This window comes from Homo sapiens, chromosome 12, assembly GCF_000001405.40.
Source record: "Homo sapiens chromosome 12, GRCh38.p14 Primary Assembly".
Classification (NCBI taxonomy): Eukaryota; Metazoa; Chordata; class Mammalia; order Primates; family Hominidae; genus Homo; species Homo sapiens.
This window is the reverse complement of record NC_000012.12, coordinates 91154991-91172290: the sequence shown is the minus strand read 5'-3', so window position 1 is coordinate 91172290 and position 17300 is coordinate 91154991. Positions and strand designations below refer to the sequence as shown.

General features: G+C 35.0%; 1 protein-coding gene across 6 annotated transcripts in view; it reads left to right on the top strand.

Annotated features, from left to right (window-relative positions):
• DCN (decorin) overlaps window positions 1-17300 on the top strand; it is a 42334-nt gene that overhangs the window by 10527 nt on the left and 14507 nt on the right. For 2 of the 6 annotated variants that reach the window (NM_001920.5, NM_133503.4), the window contains exons 3-5: window positions 7574-7686; window positions 13782-13995; window positions 15103-15216. The exons of 2 other annotated variants lie outside the window; for them this stretch is intronic. In NM_001920.5, coding sequence (NP_001911.1) covers window positions 7574-7686; window positions 13782-13995; window positions 15103-15216 — 441 coding nt within the window. The remainder of the gene's footprint in view (window positions 1-7573; window positions 7687-13781; window positions 13996-15102; window positions 15217-17300) is intronic. 2 more of the 6 variants (NM_133504.3, NM_133506.3) reach the window with 2 other exon arrangements.

Below are 17300 nucleotides of genomic sequence, written 5' to 3'. Positions count from 1 at the left end.
CACATGGCAGAAAAAAAGCATGATGTTTTAAGACAACCTGGCCTTTGTCCAACATGATGTTTACCAGATTGCTGACATTTTCTAGCATAACAATACTATTCATCATTGGGATAACCAAAAGAAGGGAAATAAAAAAAAAAAGAAGTCTATTTCTTACTAGTCTTTATTCAGAAATGATTTTTTTGGTAATATCTTAAGTAGTATCTTATTTGCTTTAATAAATAACTTGATTTTAAAGAAGATAAACCTCCTTACAAAAACTGGGAGAGCAAATGTCTAATCCAGGCTACCTTGAAAATAGTGTGTTTTAGTGGAAAATTTAGAATTATGTTAAATAAGGCTGCTCAATGAAAAATAAATGTAGGAAACCACTATGCTCCTGTTACTACAGCTGAGTGAATTTTACCCCAAAACATGGTGGCTTAAAAAAAAATTTAATTTGCTCACAACTTGAGGTATGGAAAATTTGGGAAGGGCTCTGAAGGGCTGTTCTCACTTGGGGTCACTCTTGCATTTGTAGTCAAATGTTACCCGGGATTTATAATCTTAAGAAGGCTAGCCTGGGCTGGACACCTGTTCACTCTCATAACTGACAGTTGCTGCTGCTGTCGCCCACAAGCTTGGCTGTTGTATCCTCTGGATTGCCTCAGACAGCCTCTCTTTTTTCCTATGGCCCCTGGCTGTCCCAGAGCAAGCATCCCAGAATTGGGTAGCAGCTGTACAACCTTTTCTGACCTAGTCTCAAATGTTATGGTGTTTCAGGCTATTGATTCCTAGAGGCATCACAAGGCCATCCTGAATTCAAAGGGAAGAGAGAGGAATTAGATGCTACCTCCTAATGGTATTGGGATAAATGCATATTGTAGAAGAGCATGCAGGATAGAAAATTTAATGTATGCCATCTTTGAAAAATATAATCATCTACATATTTACTTACATTTATATACATTTCTAATGAGAAGTTTGAGCATAATTATGTATTATGTAGAGAAAGCCCACAGATATTACATGTCCCCCATGAAGGTCATTATTTAATGATTACAAACTACATTAAGATGTTAAATAATTATAATTAAATTAATTTACAAATTAACTTCATAGTTACTTAATTCTTCTACTTAAGATTGTGAGAAAAGTATTAAGTCGTACCTTAATGACTTTGTTTTCATTATGGAACATTTTTTGGACATAAATTGAACCTGGCTAATTGATACATATAATTTAAAATGCTAACATTTTACTTTTTATATCATTTTATGAATAACCATAAAATTCATCAGTATCAATAGGAATTATTTAGTTAAAAATCACATACAATTAATACAATCATAGGCTTAAAGGCAGAATTTAAATTTGTTTATTTAAAAGTTAAAAAAATTAAGGTAGGATAACTGTTTCATAGAATACTATCTGTTTTTATATTTTTTGAAGATTAGGTTTAGTTCAAATAAGCTTTTTGCAATTATCAAAAATAATCTCTGGTCCTCGTGTATTTCTACCACAATTTACTTCCGGCTTGGTGTTTTCAGATGAGGAAATGGAGCCTGAGGAATGCTAACTTACAGATTCCGGTCATCTCTCCTTAACAGCCAAGTTGATTTTAACCCGAGCCATTCTGACTCTAATGATGTACAAACAAAGAGTAATATTTTATAGATTTGCAAAAGAGTGTAGCATTTGCTACCATTAAAATAGGGTTAAATTGACCAGGAGCAGTTTTTGAGGAGTCTAATTACTCATTGGGGATCATGTGCTTCCTAAACTGAAGGCTTATCCAAAAGCCCTGAACTTGGTAGACAAGCACCCCAAAGGCCCTGAACTTCATGGGAACAATGATGAATGCAGAAAGACCAGGAAATAACTGTCAAGACAAAAACATTTCAGGACCAAGATCTTTAGATGAACACCTTGTGCTTGACATACCTGAAAAACAGATTTCAGCCTCTAGGATAATATGCATAGTAATTGTACAGAAAAGAAAGAGTTACAGATGAATAATCAGAAAGATTATTCAGAAGGATAATGAGAGCAACACCCTCTATTTTGCTTATTAATAATAATCATAGGTAGCAATACTTGAGACGCTGCTATGCACTATGGTAGGAGATTATTTTGTAGCATAGCTTATTGAATTCTCACAAAAATTCTGTGAAAGACTTAAGAAAACTGAGGACAGAGGGTTTAAACAATATGTCTTCTAATTTTCTTTTTCTTTTTTTTTTTTTTTTAGACAGAGTCTTGCTCTGTCACCCAGGCTGGAGTGCAGTGGCGCGATCTCGGCTCACTGCAAGCTCCGCCTCCCGGGTTCACGCCATTCTCCTGCCTCAGCCTCCTGAGTAGCTGGGACTACAGGCACCCACCACCACGCCCGGCTAATTTTTTGTATTTTTCAGTAGAGACGGGGTTTCACCGTGTTAGCCAGGATGGTCTCGATCTCCTGATCTCGTGATCCACCCGCCTCGGCTTCCCAAAGTGCTGGGATTACAGGCGTGAGTCACCGCGCCCGGCCTCAATATGTCTTCTAATCTTAAAGATAAAGAAGAGGAACCAGAATTGAAATTCACATAACAGTCTTATAAAAAAATGTTATTATAGGAGCATGTTTAAATATGAAAATTCTGCAGAATAAAATGACCCCATTGGGTACCCACCACAGAGCTTCAACCAGTGTCAACTAATGCCGTTATTTTTCTATCTCCACCCACTTCCATATCATTTTGAAGCAAATTCCAGATATATGATTTTATCTAACAATACACTTACCAGTATGTTTCTCTGAAAAATAAAGCTCTCAAATAAAATAGCCATAGTTTATAGCTTATTTATATGAGTCAGGATCCAGATGAAGTACATACATTGCTTTTTTTAAAAATAGCTTCTGTTTTTTGGTTTTTTTTTTTTTTTTTTTTTTTGACAGGATCTCCCCCTGTTGCCTAGGCTGGAGTGCAGTGGCATGATCACAGCTCACTGTAGCCTCAACCTCCCCAGGCTCAGGGGATCCTCCTTCCCGAGTAGATGGGACTACAGGCTTGTGCCACCATGCTCAGCTAATTTTTTGTAAAGATGGGGTCTTGCTATGTTGCCCAGGCTGGTCTTGAACTCAGAGGCTCAAGCAATCCACCTGTCTGAGATTCCAAAAGTTCTGGAATTAGAGGCAAGAGCCACAGCACCCAGCTAAAACATCTCTTAACTCTCCTTTACACTACAGATTCACAATTTCTTCATTTTCTTTTGGAATTTAGAGGATTAATCAGATTCAGGATTAATTGTTTGTTTTTGAAAATACAAATCTATGAATGGGGATTTGTTTCTTCATTTAGAAGCTTCTAACTGATGCTTTTCCAGGAGAAATATATGCCATGTAGAGAAACTCTTACTGCTGGAGTAGTCACTCTATTAGACAGAAAAATCAGTCTTCTTGAGATATGTATGTGACAAAAGGTGCTTCACAAATATGGCAAAGACACTGAAGAAAGTAAGAGCAATTTTCAGGTGCAGATAATGGGAATGACATATTTGATAGTAAGTAGCATTCATTTATAAAATATTCCTGGAAACAGGAAAAAATATAATTATTATAACCAGTTGTATCCTAATACTTCTGAGGAAAATAAAAACTCCTATGATAGCAGGTTATAGGGAGATGGTTATAACAGAACATGGCAGAAATGATCTCAAAGCCATACTCATAAACTTTTCATCATGGGACAGCAAGGCAGATAGACTTTAAAATTAATTAATCAGAAAGGCACTTCTTGTTTTCAAAGCAGCCAGAGCAAAATGCTGATGAGAAACAGTAATTAGTCCTCCTTACTCAGGAAAAAAATAAATAAACTAACAAAACAAACAAAGACCCTGAAATGCAGGACAGTATAGTTTAAACTTATACATCTATGGCCTGTAAGAAGTTTAGAGGTGCAAGATTACTGTTATACAGGGGTGGTCAGCATGAATATTACAGAGGAGAGGGATAACGGATATGCTTCAAGGGATTGTTAGAATGGAAATAGAAATAAATGAATAAGTGGAGTTTTACATAAAATATGCATTGCATGAACAAAAATTGAGTAGCTAGGAATGAGTGTAATATGCTCACGGAATAGCTGTAGATCAGCATTAGAAAATATGCACAATGATCACATGCATAAATGGCACACCACGGCTAGGCACGGTGGCTCACACCTGTAATCCCAGCACTTTGGGAGGCCGAGGCTGGTGGATCATGAGGTCAGGAGATCGAGACCATCCTGGCTAACACGGTGAAACTCCATCTTTACTAAAAATACAAAAAATTAGCCAGGCACTGGTGGCAAACGCCTGTAGTCCCAGCTACTGAGGCAGGAGAATCGCTTGAATCGGGAGGCGGAGGTTAAAGTGAGCTGAGATGATGCCATTGCATTCCAGGCTGAGCGACAGAGCAAGACTCTTGTCTCAAACAAAAAAACAAAAACAAAAACAAAAACAAAAAACATAGTTCTGGAGTGAGGACTCAAACTATCCTGGTTCTTGATCTACTTTAGCCATGAGGCACCTTAGATAAGCTATTTAACTTCTTTGGGTTTCTGTTTCCTTACCTATGAAATGAGAAGATTAGACTGCCTTAAAATTCTCTGATTTCTGGGATAAGTAAAATTTTGAATGTTGAACGAGTTAATTTCTCATTAAAGTCAATACCAAACCTAACAAAAGAAGAGCCTGCCATCTGCTATCATAATCATTTTTTAAAGAAGGTGTATTTAAAAGTAGAAATGGAAGTGAAGGCAGGAAATGGTCTCAGATGGTCTCAGAAATTGTGTGTGTGTGTGTGTGTGTGTGTGTCTGTCTGTCTGTGTGTGTGTGTCTGAGATAATTTACATTAAAACTAACCACACTGCTTTTATTGTTTTTTTTTTATTTTGATATGGATTGCTAAAAACCTCATCATAGAGTCTACCTAATCAGCATTTGGGAACCATAGATTAGCTGATATTTAAGGACCCTTCCCTTTGTGACATTCAGAGAACTCATAATAACTAGAGTAAATTCTTCATTATACTCTGTCTCTTGTCTTTGAGCAAGCTAGTTAACACTCCAATGCCTTATCTACCCCTTACAGGTACAGCATATTACTGGGTCTGATGTCAGAACAATTATTTCAGGGGATACAGATAGGTATGCCAGAAAAAAAAGTCATGCTGGAAGCCAGGAGAGTTGTCATCTAATCCACATTTTGTCATTCCTAACTAGATAAGCTTGTTCATGTTATGAAACTTTTTAAAATAATTGAAAGTATGAGATTACCATACTGCCTTACCTATCTCATTGGGTTATTGTAAGGTAAATAATAACATATTTTCATTTTTAAAAATAAACTCTAAAACTAAATTATTAATAAAAAATATGTGAAATCCCCCCAATAAACATAAATTTACTAATTCAGAGCAGGTTGTAGAACTATAATTTTAATCATTGAAATGACTCTCCAAGAACTAAACTACAAGAATTAGAATCCTGAGGATGGTATTCCTTTTTTCTGAATCTCTAGAAATAAGATGTATATAAATTACCTTAAGTAGTTCCTAGTGTTATAAAATTTTAGGATGACAACATAAGTGAAAGTGTCAGCCATCCAGACACATCATTCTTTCCCTACACATTTGAAATTTTATCTGCAGTTTCGCATTGACAAAATGTTGAGAGTCACTAGAATTTAAGTTCGCCAATGAATAAAAGCAAGCGTAAGTGGAAATTAGGACTGTGATGAAGGTGCCCAAGAAGGAATGATAAAATGTAGTAACTACGTTCCAAATGAAAAGAAGTTTGTCTTTTCTGGGTTGGAGAACACCAATTAACAAAGATTTGGCAGAAATCTACCATTCCTAATTGCATGAAATTAGCAAATTGACATTTCCGAAAATGGCAGTGATTACAACTGTACAGTGTCATTAAGCAACCTCCTACAAGGTAGCTGTTCTGGTGTTTTACCGTTCATCACTGAAAACACTTAACTCTTGTTATTTCTATGGGAACTGTGTCTATAAGAGTTACACATTTATGTAACATATTTATGTAAGTTCAGAATTACTTGTATTTTGATACTTAAACTTATAAAGATAGGTGGTCACTGAATTAAGAACAAGATTCCACCTGCAACCCCAACTATCAATGGAGCAGTGATATTATAAATAAAAAAATATTTGGAAAAGACTCAGAAATAGGTAGCTTCAGGTACGTTTTCTGTAACTTTCATGGAAGAAATGAAGACAGTCAAAGTATGGCTACCATGGTGGTTTACAAGTATGTTTACATAAAACTCAAAATTGAAAAGTGATTTTCTCGACATAGCGGTTATTATACCCTGTTGTAATTTTATTTTAATTGAAAACAGTAAACTGAATTATATTTTTATGAAGTCACGGGCAATATCTGCCTTGGTCCTGCTATATTCCCAGGATCTAATAAATTCATGGTGCCCAAGAGGTATTCAATAAAGGCTTGTTGAATTTATGAAAAAATAATCTTCAGTACTTCAAGTTTCAGATATGATGGAGAGATTGCTTCTACCAAAGGCTAAAAAATATTTCTGATTTGTGTTATGCAGTCTTAAAATACAGAAATGATCACATTAATTTGAGTTAATAGAATATCAAATTTTTACTTGATGTCCTACTTCAATATGAAACAATGAAAAAAAGAAAGGCAAAAGGCCTTATTTAATAATTTTCTCTATTATGATTCATGATGATTTATTCAAAAATAACTGCCTTTTGTATAATTCTGGTTCATCCTTATATGACTAGCTGAATGACTACTAAAATATTTTTTAATACCAGGACCATTTGGTAATTCAATGAATTTACATTTACAAACTAAAAACAATAATACACTCAGCTAGACCAAAATCTAAAGTCCAAAAGTAATGCTTCATAAAATTAATTTCAGATATGTCATACTACCCAATTTATTTCATTCTAACTAGCCATATATCTATTGGTCATAAAATATCAACTGAAATGGATATTGTTTTGGCATTCCAATGAAAACTAAAAGAACCGTTATCCCAAAATGTTGGATAAATTTTCAAGATCCTGCCACAAGTTGATTATATGTTTATATGATTTTAACTGTAGATCTGTGACAGGGTTAGGTGTATCAAAAAGATCTTTATTACTGATGATTTGGCTAGAGTAATTATTGACACGGTATTTATGTAAAAATGTATAAATTTGCCAATCACTCGTGCTGACTACTTATCAAAATAACTACTTTTCAATACAACAACAAAGAGGTAAAACATATAGATTTGAGCCACACCCTAATGCAACACAAATGTTCCCCTAATGCAGAGGAATAATTCCATGAGGAAAATATCATGTTGAGTTTATTATTAAATACAAAAAGTCATTTGACTTGGTTGCAAAAGATAAAGCAAAAATTTTACCCTACAATGAATGTAATTCTTAGAAGAAGAAAAATATGTTGTTACTGTTAAGATGATCATCATAACATTAATTTCTTGGTAAATATATGCTGTGTGATTCTGTAGCCACATGTCCTTTCTACTCACAGCACACTCCTATTACTCTTATGCTAGGTCTGGACAAAGTGCCAAAGGATCTTCCCCCTGACACAACTCTGCTAGACCTGCAAAACAACAAAATAACCGAAATCAAAGATGGAGACTTTAAGAACCTGAAGAACCTTCACGTAAGAACTATTTTTTTTTAACTCACAATAAGATAAGACTCAAGGTATTTTTCAAAACACTACCTAGATAAGGCCAAGAGTACTATGTACCAACAAAGAAGCACATTAGTGTTTATTAACTTCACCTTTTTTTTTTTTTTTTACTTTTTTTTTATTAATTCTGCCCCAAACACTGTTTTTCTTTTTCTTTTTTTTTTTTTTTTTGAATTATGCTTCTTTTTTTTTTAATTTTTTTTTTATTATACTCTAAGTTTTAGGGTACATGTGCACATTGTGCAGGTTAGTTACATATGTATACATGTGCCATGCTGGTGCGCTGCACCCACTAACGTGTCATCTAGCATTAGGTATATCTCCCAATGCTATCCCTTCCCCTTCCCCCGACCCCACCACAGTCCCCAGAGTGTGATATTCCCCTTCCTGTGTCCATGTGATCTCATTGTTCAATTCCCACGTATGAGTGAGAATATGCGGTGTTTGGTTTTTTGTTCTTGCGATAGTTTACCTTTTTAGCAGTGGTAGGGAAGCAAAGCATCATATTTATTAACCACTAACAATTTACCTGACTTTTTTAATACATATACCCCATATATCTTAGGTATTTTCTTCATAAAAATACTTTAGATCTTAATTCTCTCTCACGTTTTCAGGAATAAAAATTGTCTTTCAAATTAAATTGTATTTTAATAGTGGAACAAAACACAAAATGGATTGATCCTAGTATTATTTTATTTCTTTGTTTCTTTTGTTTGTTTTCATGCATTTTCTAAGAGAGGTGTGAATGATGTTCTAAAGTCTCAAAGATTGGAATCAAGTGAAAAAAAGATAATTATTCATATTTCATTTAGCGAAATATAATTCTATCTTCATATATATGTTTCTTGCTTTATCTTTAGGATTATGCATGCTGTGTCCTTATCTGTATGTTTATTTTGATTTTCTCTTATCTCTCTACTCTATCATAATGTTCAGTCTATCAGTCAGGATTTCATCAGAAAAGAGATGCCACTCACAAAGGGGTTTCATGGAGGAGACTTTATTGAAACCTCTATTTGCAAAGGGGCATGGGAACCCAACAAGGCACTGTGAAGCACCCAGTCCCACAAAGGTCTAGAAGAATTTGAGGGTCTCAGAGCCATGGGAGAGCTGGGTAGTTCCACCTCTTAATTTCCTGCCTGTGTCTTGTGTGGTTGCATCTACTTCAGACCAAAAGACAAGGGCATTTGATTAATGCATTCCCCAGAGGTCAGCTTCCCAGGACTTGAAGAAGGGCCAAAAAAGGGCAAAGAATGAATATTGTGGTAGTTGGGAGAGAATATGCTATACAAGGGAAATGACCAACCCAATAAAATAGAGGTAAGCCTTGCTAAGAGAACCTTCTGTAACAGTAAATGCATTGTTTGTTCACACAGAACACCAGAATCACTATAAAATGCATTTTCTCACCCAGTTCTCTATCTGTAGAATGAGTGTGATGTGGTCTTCCATCAAAATATGAGTGCACATTAAATATAAATAAGGCAGACTTCAATGTCCAAAATATATACTCTGGAAATCTCACTGTGTCTACTTCCATTCTGGTAGACCACTCTGAAGCATTGAGTCTGGTTCTTGGCATTTTAAGAAAGGCATTCAAGAACATCTAGAGAAGGATGACCATGGAGATAAAGAATCTGGAAATTAGGTCTCATAGGCACCGTGGATGGAGAGGTGGATGTCTAAACTCAGTGTTGAGGGTCACTAGTGGCACATTTGAAGGGCCATGTTGAAGAAAAAGAATGGTATTTACTTGTTTCAACTACAAGATGACAGAATCCTCCTAGTGAGTAGAAGTTTTACAGAAGCAGATTTTTATTCAATATTAAAAATAAAAATTAAAGAATCAGAATTTTCAGACAATACAGAGACTTACCTAGTGATTTGTTACCTGCCTGTGGAGATTAGAGTTCACAGCTTCGTATAATGAATGTCATAGGAATACATTCTTAATGTTGGGAGCATAAACATACCAAACTCTAATTTCATATCTACTTATTTATTCTAGTCATTATAGAAAATAATTGAGGAAGATATGTCATGAGAATAGGCACTACTTACTAAAGTATAAATATAAATCATCTGATATACATTAGAATAAAAATATAGATACAAAGGAAATAATATAAAATAGAATAAACTGGTCATAATTATTACAGAGTTACTATAATGAAGATACCATTTAGTTATAAACTTTACAATAGCCAAGATGGGAAAAGCAGTAAACATTTAGCCATTAGAAGAAAATATACCAGATTTTTTTAAAGGAAGAAAAATTTTTTTCTAAAATTTTAAGACTCTACAAGGAACCATTTTAAAAAATGCAGAAAGGCCGGGTGCAGTGGCTCATGCCTGTAATCCCAGGACTTTGGGAGGTCAAGGCGGGTGGATCACAAGGTTAAGAGATCAAGACCATCCTGGCCAACATGGTGAAACCCTGTCTCTACTGAAAATAAAAAAATTAGCTGGGCATGGTGGCGCGCTCCTGTAGTCCCAGCTACTCGGGAGTCTGAGGCAGGAGAATCGCTTGAACCCAGGATGGGGAGGTTGCAGTGAGTCGAGATCACGCCACTGCACTGCAGCCCTGGTGACAGAGTGAGACTCCATCTCAAAAAAAAAAAAAAATTGGTAGATAAAACAGTGCCATGATCAATTTATTGACGTGTCCAACAATATAAGCACAATATGATATGAGTAGTGAGTGTTATGGACTTAAAGTAAAAGAAAAAATTAGGCATCATTATTTATCCAATTACCAGACACAGTTTTGAGAGAATATGCGAGGAAGGAGTTTTAGACGATCAGCAGAAGTTTGAAGGACTTTCTGTACAAGAAGAAAGCAAAGGCAGAAGAAAATAAGAAACAGACAAATAAAAATACGAGTTGGCTAGAGTGAAAGAAACAGCTGAAGCAATGGAGGATAAGGACAAGCTGGAGGTTCCGACCTTTGGGTCTCTTTCCGCTGATGAGAACCTTATTCACCAACTCCCCCTCACTTCACCTTAAGGTTTCACCGGGAATGAGCTGATGGGGAAACCAGCAAGGTTTTCAGTGACTATTTAAGCTACTGTTGGCATAAGTTTAAAAAGGAGACCATAAAAAATGAATATTATTAAATTTAGATTACTAAAATATTTTTAAAACTTTTATTTGGATAAGTTTGCCTTATAGCTACTGTTTTAAAGGATGAAACATTCTTACTGTCATCTCAACTTCCTGTACATTTAAGTATACTTGGAATATTTTTTAAAAAAACCCTTTATATCCTTAAGTAAGTGACATCTAGTGTCCATGACATTCTCATTAAATCTGGCATTTGTAATAATGTGTTGTTTCTTTTCCTAAGACTCCTTCTGTTTTTAGGCAGCCATCATCTTGACAATCTCTTTCTTTCTACTTCAAAGTATACATCAGATGAATAAAGAGAGTTCATTAGAGCCTTCAACCATTCAGAGGATGTTAAGCAGCTATTTTTCTCTTACTGTTTCATTCATGATCCTTTCTATCCTTGTTATTTTGCAAATAAACATCATAATTTCACCTAGCAAAGCCACACTTAAGGAAGGAGAGAAATGAAAATTTAGCAAGGATTAAAATAGAAAGAATTTAACAGAATCATGTTCCCTGTATGTGCTTCATTATGAGTGGTGTGTGTTACATAAGAGTAATTTTATACCTATATATAGTGGGAAAAACTATATAATTGTTCTATAAAATAATGGAAAATTAAGTGTGGTAATGACAACATTTAATATATTTTCTTTGAATTGAAGCTTAATAAGTTGAGTAAGGAAAATTTTTTTAATTAAAAATCAGCAAAAATTGTCAAAGACTGAACAAAAGCAAACACTTGTTTAGCAATTACTATATATACTAGGCACTATTCTTAGTACCTTATATACATTAACTTATTTAATTCTTATAACTATTCTTATGAGGTAGTCACACTTGATATCTCCTTTAAATGGGCACAGAAAGGTTAAGTTACATGCTCATAGTCACAGGCCAAATAAGACCCAGAGCTTGAGATTCTAAACTCAGAATTCTGGCTTGAGTATGTGCACTAATAATTGCCTATAAATGTAACAGTCACCAAAAAAGCCTTTAGAACAATATTTGGTACAGTGTAAGACCTACATAAATGGCTTTGGAGAAAAAAATCATATTAAAAGTCAGGTTTTAAAAACATTTAACATAATACAGATTTTTCAGATCATGTTTAATACATCTAATTATATCACACTTTCAAAATGGTCTTCTATGGATAGGAATTGAATATCTCCTTTGCGATTTTCATTAGGCATCCACAATTTTGGATGTCTTGTAATGATATATGTCACCTCACTCCACTCAGCTGGCTCTGGCTTTTCCCTGATTTTTTGTTTGTTAATGTCAATTTTTTTATGACCTTAACTCCCACAAGTTTTTGAACTTTTGATTATTAATCGCAGTGTGTTAGAATTGTGTATCAATCAACCAATGCATCTTTCAGGATTAGTTAAATGATTATGTTACTTAATAAGAAGTTTTAATTCATCGAGTAATGTGAACTATATGAGGATATACATATATTAATTAATCAGCTATTACCTTTAGAAAACATTCTTGCATTTCTGAGACTAAAAATACTCGCTTTCCTATTATAGGTCCCCTTTTGCCCCTCCACATTTTCATATATGCGAAACATATACTATAATTGAAAATGCAAAATTAGACCTTAATAAGTTATTTTAAGTTCCTTATAATTAGTTAATAAAGTGGCTTGAAATAATAAAACCATGTGGTTTTGTTAGACATACAGATAATTGAAAAAGAATAAAATAGTCCAAAAATAGGCCTAGCAATTGTTATAAGCATAATAATAATGAATTAGAGGTAATTTCTTATATAAGGAGAACTCAGAAATAAAAATCAAATAATTACCCAAAATATTAACGTATTTGTCATATAAAACCTTTACACATAAAAAAAGGCAAAAAAAAATCAGGAGAAAAATATGTTAAGGCTCTCTGTGTCATATTGACCATATCTTTATTTTCTAAATCAATTATTAACCTATATTAAAATTTAATAAACATGAGAAGTATTGGTGATCAAGCAATCTCCTCTCTCCAAAAAATACAATAAATGGTAGGAAAATAAAAAAAAAATAGTTTAACCTTTTTAAATGACAAGGAAATACAAAGAAAAGCAATGAGCTACAACATGATATTATTTTGGCCATACTCTTAAGAAACATAATATCAAATATTGCAAGGCTACGGGAAAATTTTAGTTCCTTGCATTGCTGGTGATAGCATAAATTGGTATCATCCTTTTGTAGCGGAATCCATGTTCATGATCAATGAAGATGGACTTTTAAGTTAAAAAGCTGACTGCGGGATGGATGTCTGTGGCATTGATTATTTTCAGGTATCTAGGGTCATTTCAATTGTTAGCAGTATTTATTATTTAAAAATTACATAGATATATACACGTACATATACATACATACATGTCTGTGTGTGTAGAGTGCATGTATGTTTATGTATATATTATATATCTTATTACATTTCCCTTCTCTTCATTCCTGATTTTCAGGTCCTCATATTATAACTTTTTTTTTTTTTGAGACAATCTTTCCCAGTCACCAAGGCTGGAGTGCAGTCGTGTGATCTCAGCTCACTGCAACCTCTGCCTCCCAGGTTCAAGTGATCCTCCTGTCTCAGCCTCCCAAGTAGCCGGGACTACCGGCACCCACCACCACGCCCAGCTAATTTTTGTATTTTTGATACAGACGGGATTTCGCCATGCTGGCCAGGCTTGTCTCGAACTCCTGGCCTCAAGTGATCCTCCCACCTCAGCCTCCCAAAGTGCTGGGATTACAGGCATGAGCCACCGCACCTGGCCTATACACTTCTTAAGTAAAGAAATAATACTTACTTAATTTTTTTCTGATTTCTTGCAATTTTTTAGATTTCTCTGCTATCCCTATGAATGGAATGAACAAACATGCCCTTGTTTTACATGTATGTGGAAGGTTTTGGATTTAAAGAGATGTTTTTCTTCACTATCTACAGGCATTGATTCTTGTCAACAATAAAATTAGCAAAGTTAGTCCTGGAGCATTTACACCTTTGGTGAAGTTGGAACGACTTTATCTGTCCAAGAATCAGCTGAAGGAATTGCCAGAAAAAATGCCCAAAACTCTTCAGGAGCTGCGTGCCCATGAGAATGAGATCACCAAAGTGCGAAAAGTTACTTTCAATGGACTGAACCAGATGATTGTCATAGGTACAGACATTTTTATAACTTTAAGACCAAAACTCAAGTTTTTATCTTAAGAGATTTCAACTGGGTTTTAAGTGCAGGAAGGTAAATTAGCTACAAGCTACATGCCTGGAGCCTATGTGATTTATAAGAACAGGGCCAAGAGAAATTGGGATTTTGAATCTGGACCTTACAGTGATGTTTTTATGTATGTCCTTGAGTATCTGAGAATATGGAGAAAACCCTAGGGCTGAAGTTACCCTACCACACACACAATATGCAAAGATGAGTTTAAATAGTGCTTAACTACAGATATTTTGAGATACCTTTCCGTTTTGGGGACCTGTTGTATTCTAAACACTCATAAATCATTTGCTTTAAAAATATGTTATGGCTGGGCGCGGTGGCTCATGCCTGTAATCCCAGCACTTTGGGAGGCCGAAGCAGGCGGATCACGAGGTCAGGAGATCGAGACCATCCTGGCTAACATGGTGAAACCCCATCTCTACTAAAAATACAAAAAATTAGCCGGGCGTGGTGGTGGGGGCCTGTAGTACCAGCTACTCGGGAGGCTGAGGCAGGAGAATGGCGTGAACCCGGGAGGCGGAGCTTGCAGTGAGCCGAGATGGCCCCACTGCACTCCAGCCTGGGTGACAGAGTGAGACTACGTCTCAAAAAAAAAAAAATTTCTCTAAACATATAGTAAAAATTGTAATTTTATTATTGGCTTATAAAATGCTAGATTGAAATTCTTTAACAAAATTTTAAAATACCTTAGGAAAATAATAAATAACGTAAGATGGGAATTGTAAACTTGCTTTAGTTGATTTCTGGGCAAACCTGTGTATGCATCTTAAATAATTTTATTGGTATTGCTTTCACTAATAGTCTTTTTCATAAGTCATTATTATTCATAAGTCATTGTCTGTTTGGCTTTTGTTTTAATAAGGGAAATTTTTATCCTATTTTGCTATTCTCCTGAGGAGCATGCTCTTTAACTTCACTTTTGTTTTTTAGTCAAGTTGATATTAATCCCTATTTCTTTATAGGTTGCTTGCTGAAACAGATACTACAGTGACTAGTAATATCCTAAAATTTCCTCTAAAAGCCTTGCACTTATTACATTTGTAGAACTGGGCACCAATCCGCTGAAGAGCTCAGGAATTGAAAATGGGGCTTTCCAGGGAATGAAGAAGCTCTCCTACATCCGCATTGCTGATACCAATATCACCAGCATTCCTCAAGGTGATAGAAGATTCTCCAAAACATTTTGAAAAATTTAAATTCAAAGGCTTTAATTAAAAAAAAAAAATCTTGTGGAAACTGGAATTGTCACCTAAGAGGCCAACCTTATTTCCAGCAAATTCTCTATTACTGCTAGTGTTTCATCCAGTGTTTATATTTCCAGCAAATTCTCTATTACTGCTAGTGTTATATCCAGTGATTCAGTCTGGATGACCACGGGGCCATCCAGGCTCACTGTAGAGATGGGTAGACTCCTGTTAATGTCTAGTTTAAGACACAACTTAATGCACAGTGATTTTATAATATTGTAAAATCACAAAGAAAAAGTACATTTATTTAAAAAATAGCATGCCTTGGTGTTTGTAAAAAAAAAAAAAAAGATATATGGGAGTACCTCTGAAATTGATCCAATTTTTATCTTGAGTCTGCAATAGCTTAGGGAATTTTTTTTTCCTTTTTAAGACACTCCAGTTATTAATATCTGAATGATAGTGGTAGTTGTGTGTTGTGAAGAGTGTAGATTTTGGAGTCAGTTTGCTTGAGCCCAAATTACCATAAAGTGGTTCAAAGACTTTGAAAAAGTTATTCATTTGTCCTCTATCTCTTTATCTGTCAAGTGGAAATAATACTGCTATCCACTTCATTGAGTTGTTTTAAAGTTAAATAAATAATTAGAGAAATATTTAGCATATAGATAAGTAGGGAATTAATATAACTCTCTATTATGCATTAAAAATGTTCTGAACAATCAGTATGTGTAGGCGATGTACCAAACACTTAAGACAGGGCAGGGAACAGGATATGCTACATGCCTTTAGGAGCTTACTCTCTAAAACCAAGCCAGACAAATACACAGCAATGACCACATAGCCACAAGGGTAAGTTCATTGTTCCAAGGGATTCCCAGGAGAGGCACAAAAGCCAGTCTTTGTGAATTACAAAAGGCATCAAACCACCAATAATAAATTCCTCTAACTTGCACATCGTCCCTACTCTGGGTTTTTCAGTCTCACAGAAGCCCTCTATATTATCTAGTTTTCCCCTCAGTCTGTCCCTTTCTCAACTTAGATGCCTTGTTCTTGAGTGCGTACAAAATGTAGACATTTGGCCACAGAAAACACCAGTTGTCCTTTATTGTTCTTTTACAGAAATTTCAACTCCTGAGAGTACATATTCCATAGGATGCTTTCTTACCACCCCTTGCCCTCCTCCTAGTCTTTTGAATACAGAGCATGCTTTTGACTTCCTTAGTAGCAACTACTGGCATAGATAGATACATAGATGATAAAGACTGATTTATAATTCATAAAGCACTTTCATGTTGAGTCTCCAATTTTTTGCATGTAACAAGTAATCTTTTGCTATCCCCAGTGCAGGAATGAAATATTTATATCTCAGATAGATATAAATTGGGGATTGATATAGATAGATAGATAGATAGATAGATAGATAGATAGATCTTATTAAAATTCTTGCTGAAATTTATTTCATGCAGCCAGATGACTTACATTTAGCACAATCTCAGACTTTGCTGTCCCTCTTAATGCATGCTCCAAAATATCCTTCACTGATACCTTTTATCATTTCATGATCTCTTTTCCTTTACTTTGCTATGTCTTCTATCTATCCCAGGTATTCTTTCCTCATCATTTATAGCTTGCTTTTATTTACTACCGCTTAATAGAAAAGTTAAGTAACTACAATTTATTAAGCATGTATTTAGTTCCGGGTATCATGCCAAATGCTTGTCATGGAGTCTTCTATATGATTCTTACAACGTCCCTATATAGTAGGGTTATAATTCCTGTTTCATAAAAGTGGAAAATGAGGCTTAAACAGGTAAAGAAAATTGTAATTAAGTTCTTAGAGCTAGGAAGCGGCAGAGATGGAATTGTGTGGTGCTGATGTCAGAACTCGTGTGTTTAACTATTTCACTCTGTTGGCATATTAAGTCCTCCTTTCTATTCATCGTTATGCTTATCTAATACATGATTCCACCTTGCTTAGGCTGGGATACCTATGCCTGAATATCAGCAACCTCCTGGTGATATTTTCTCCCATCACTCATGGAAATGGAAAGGCAG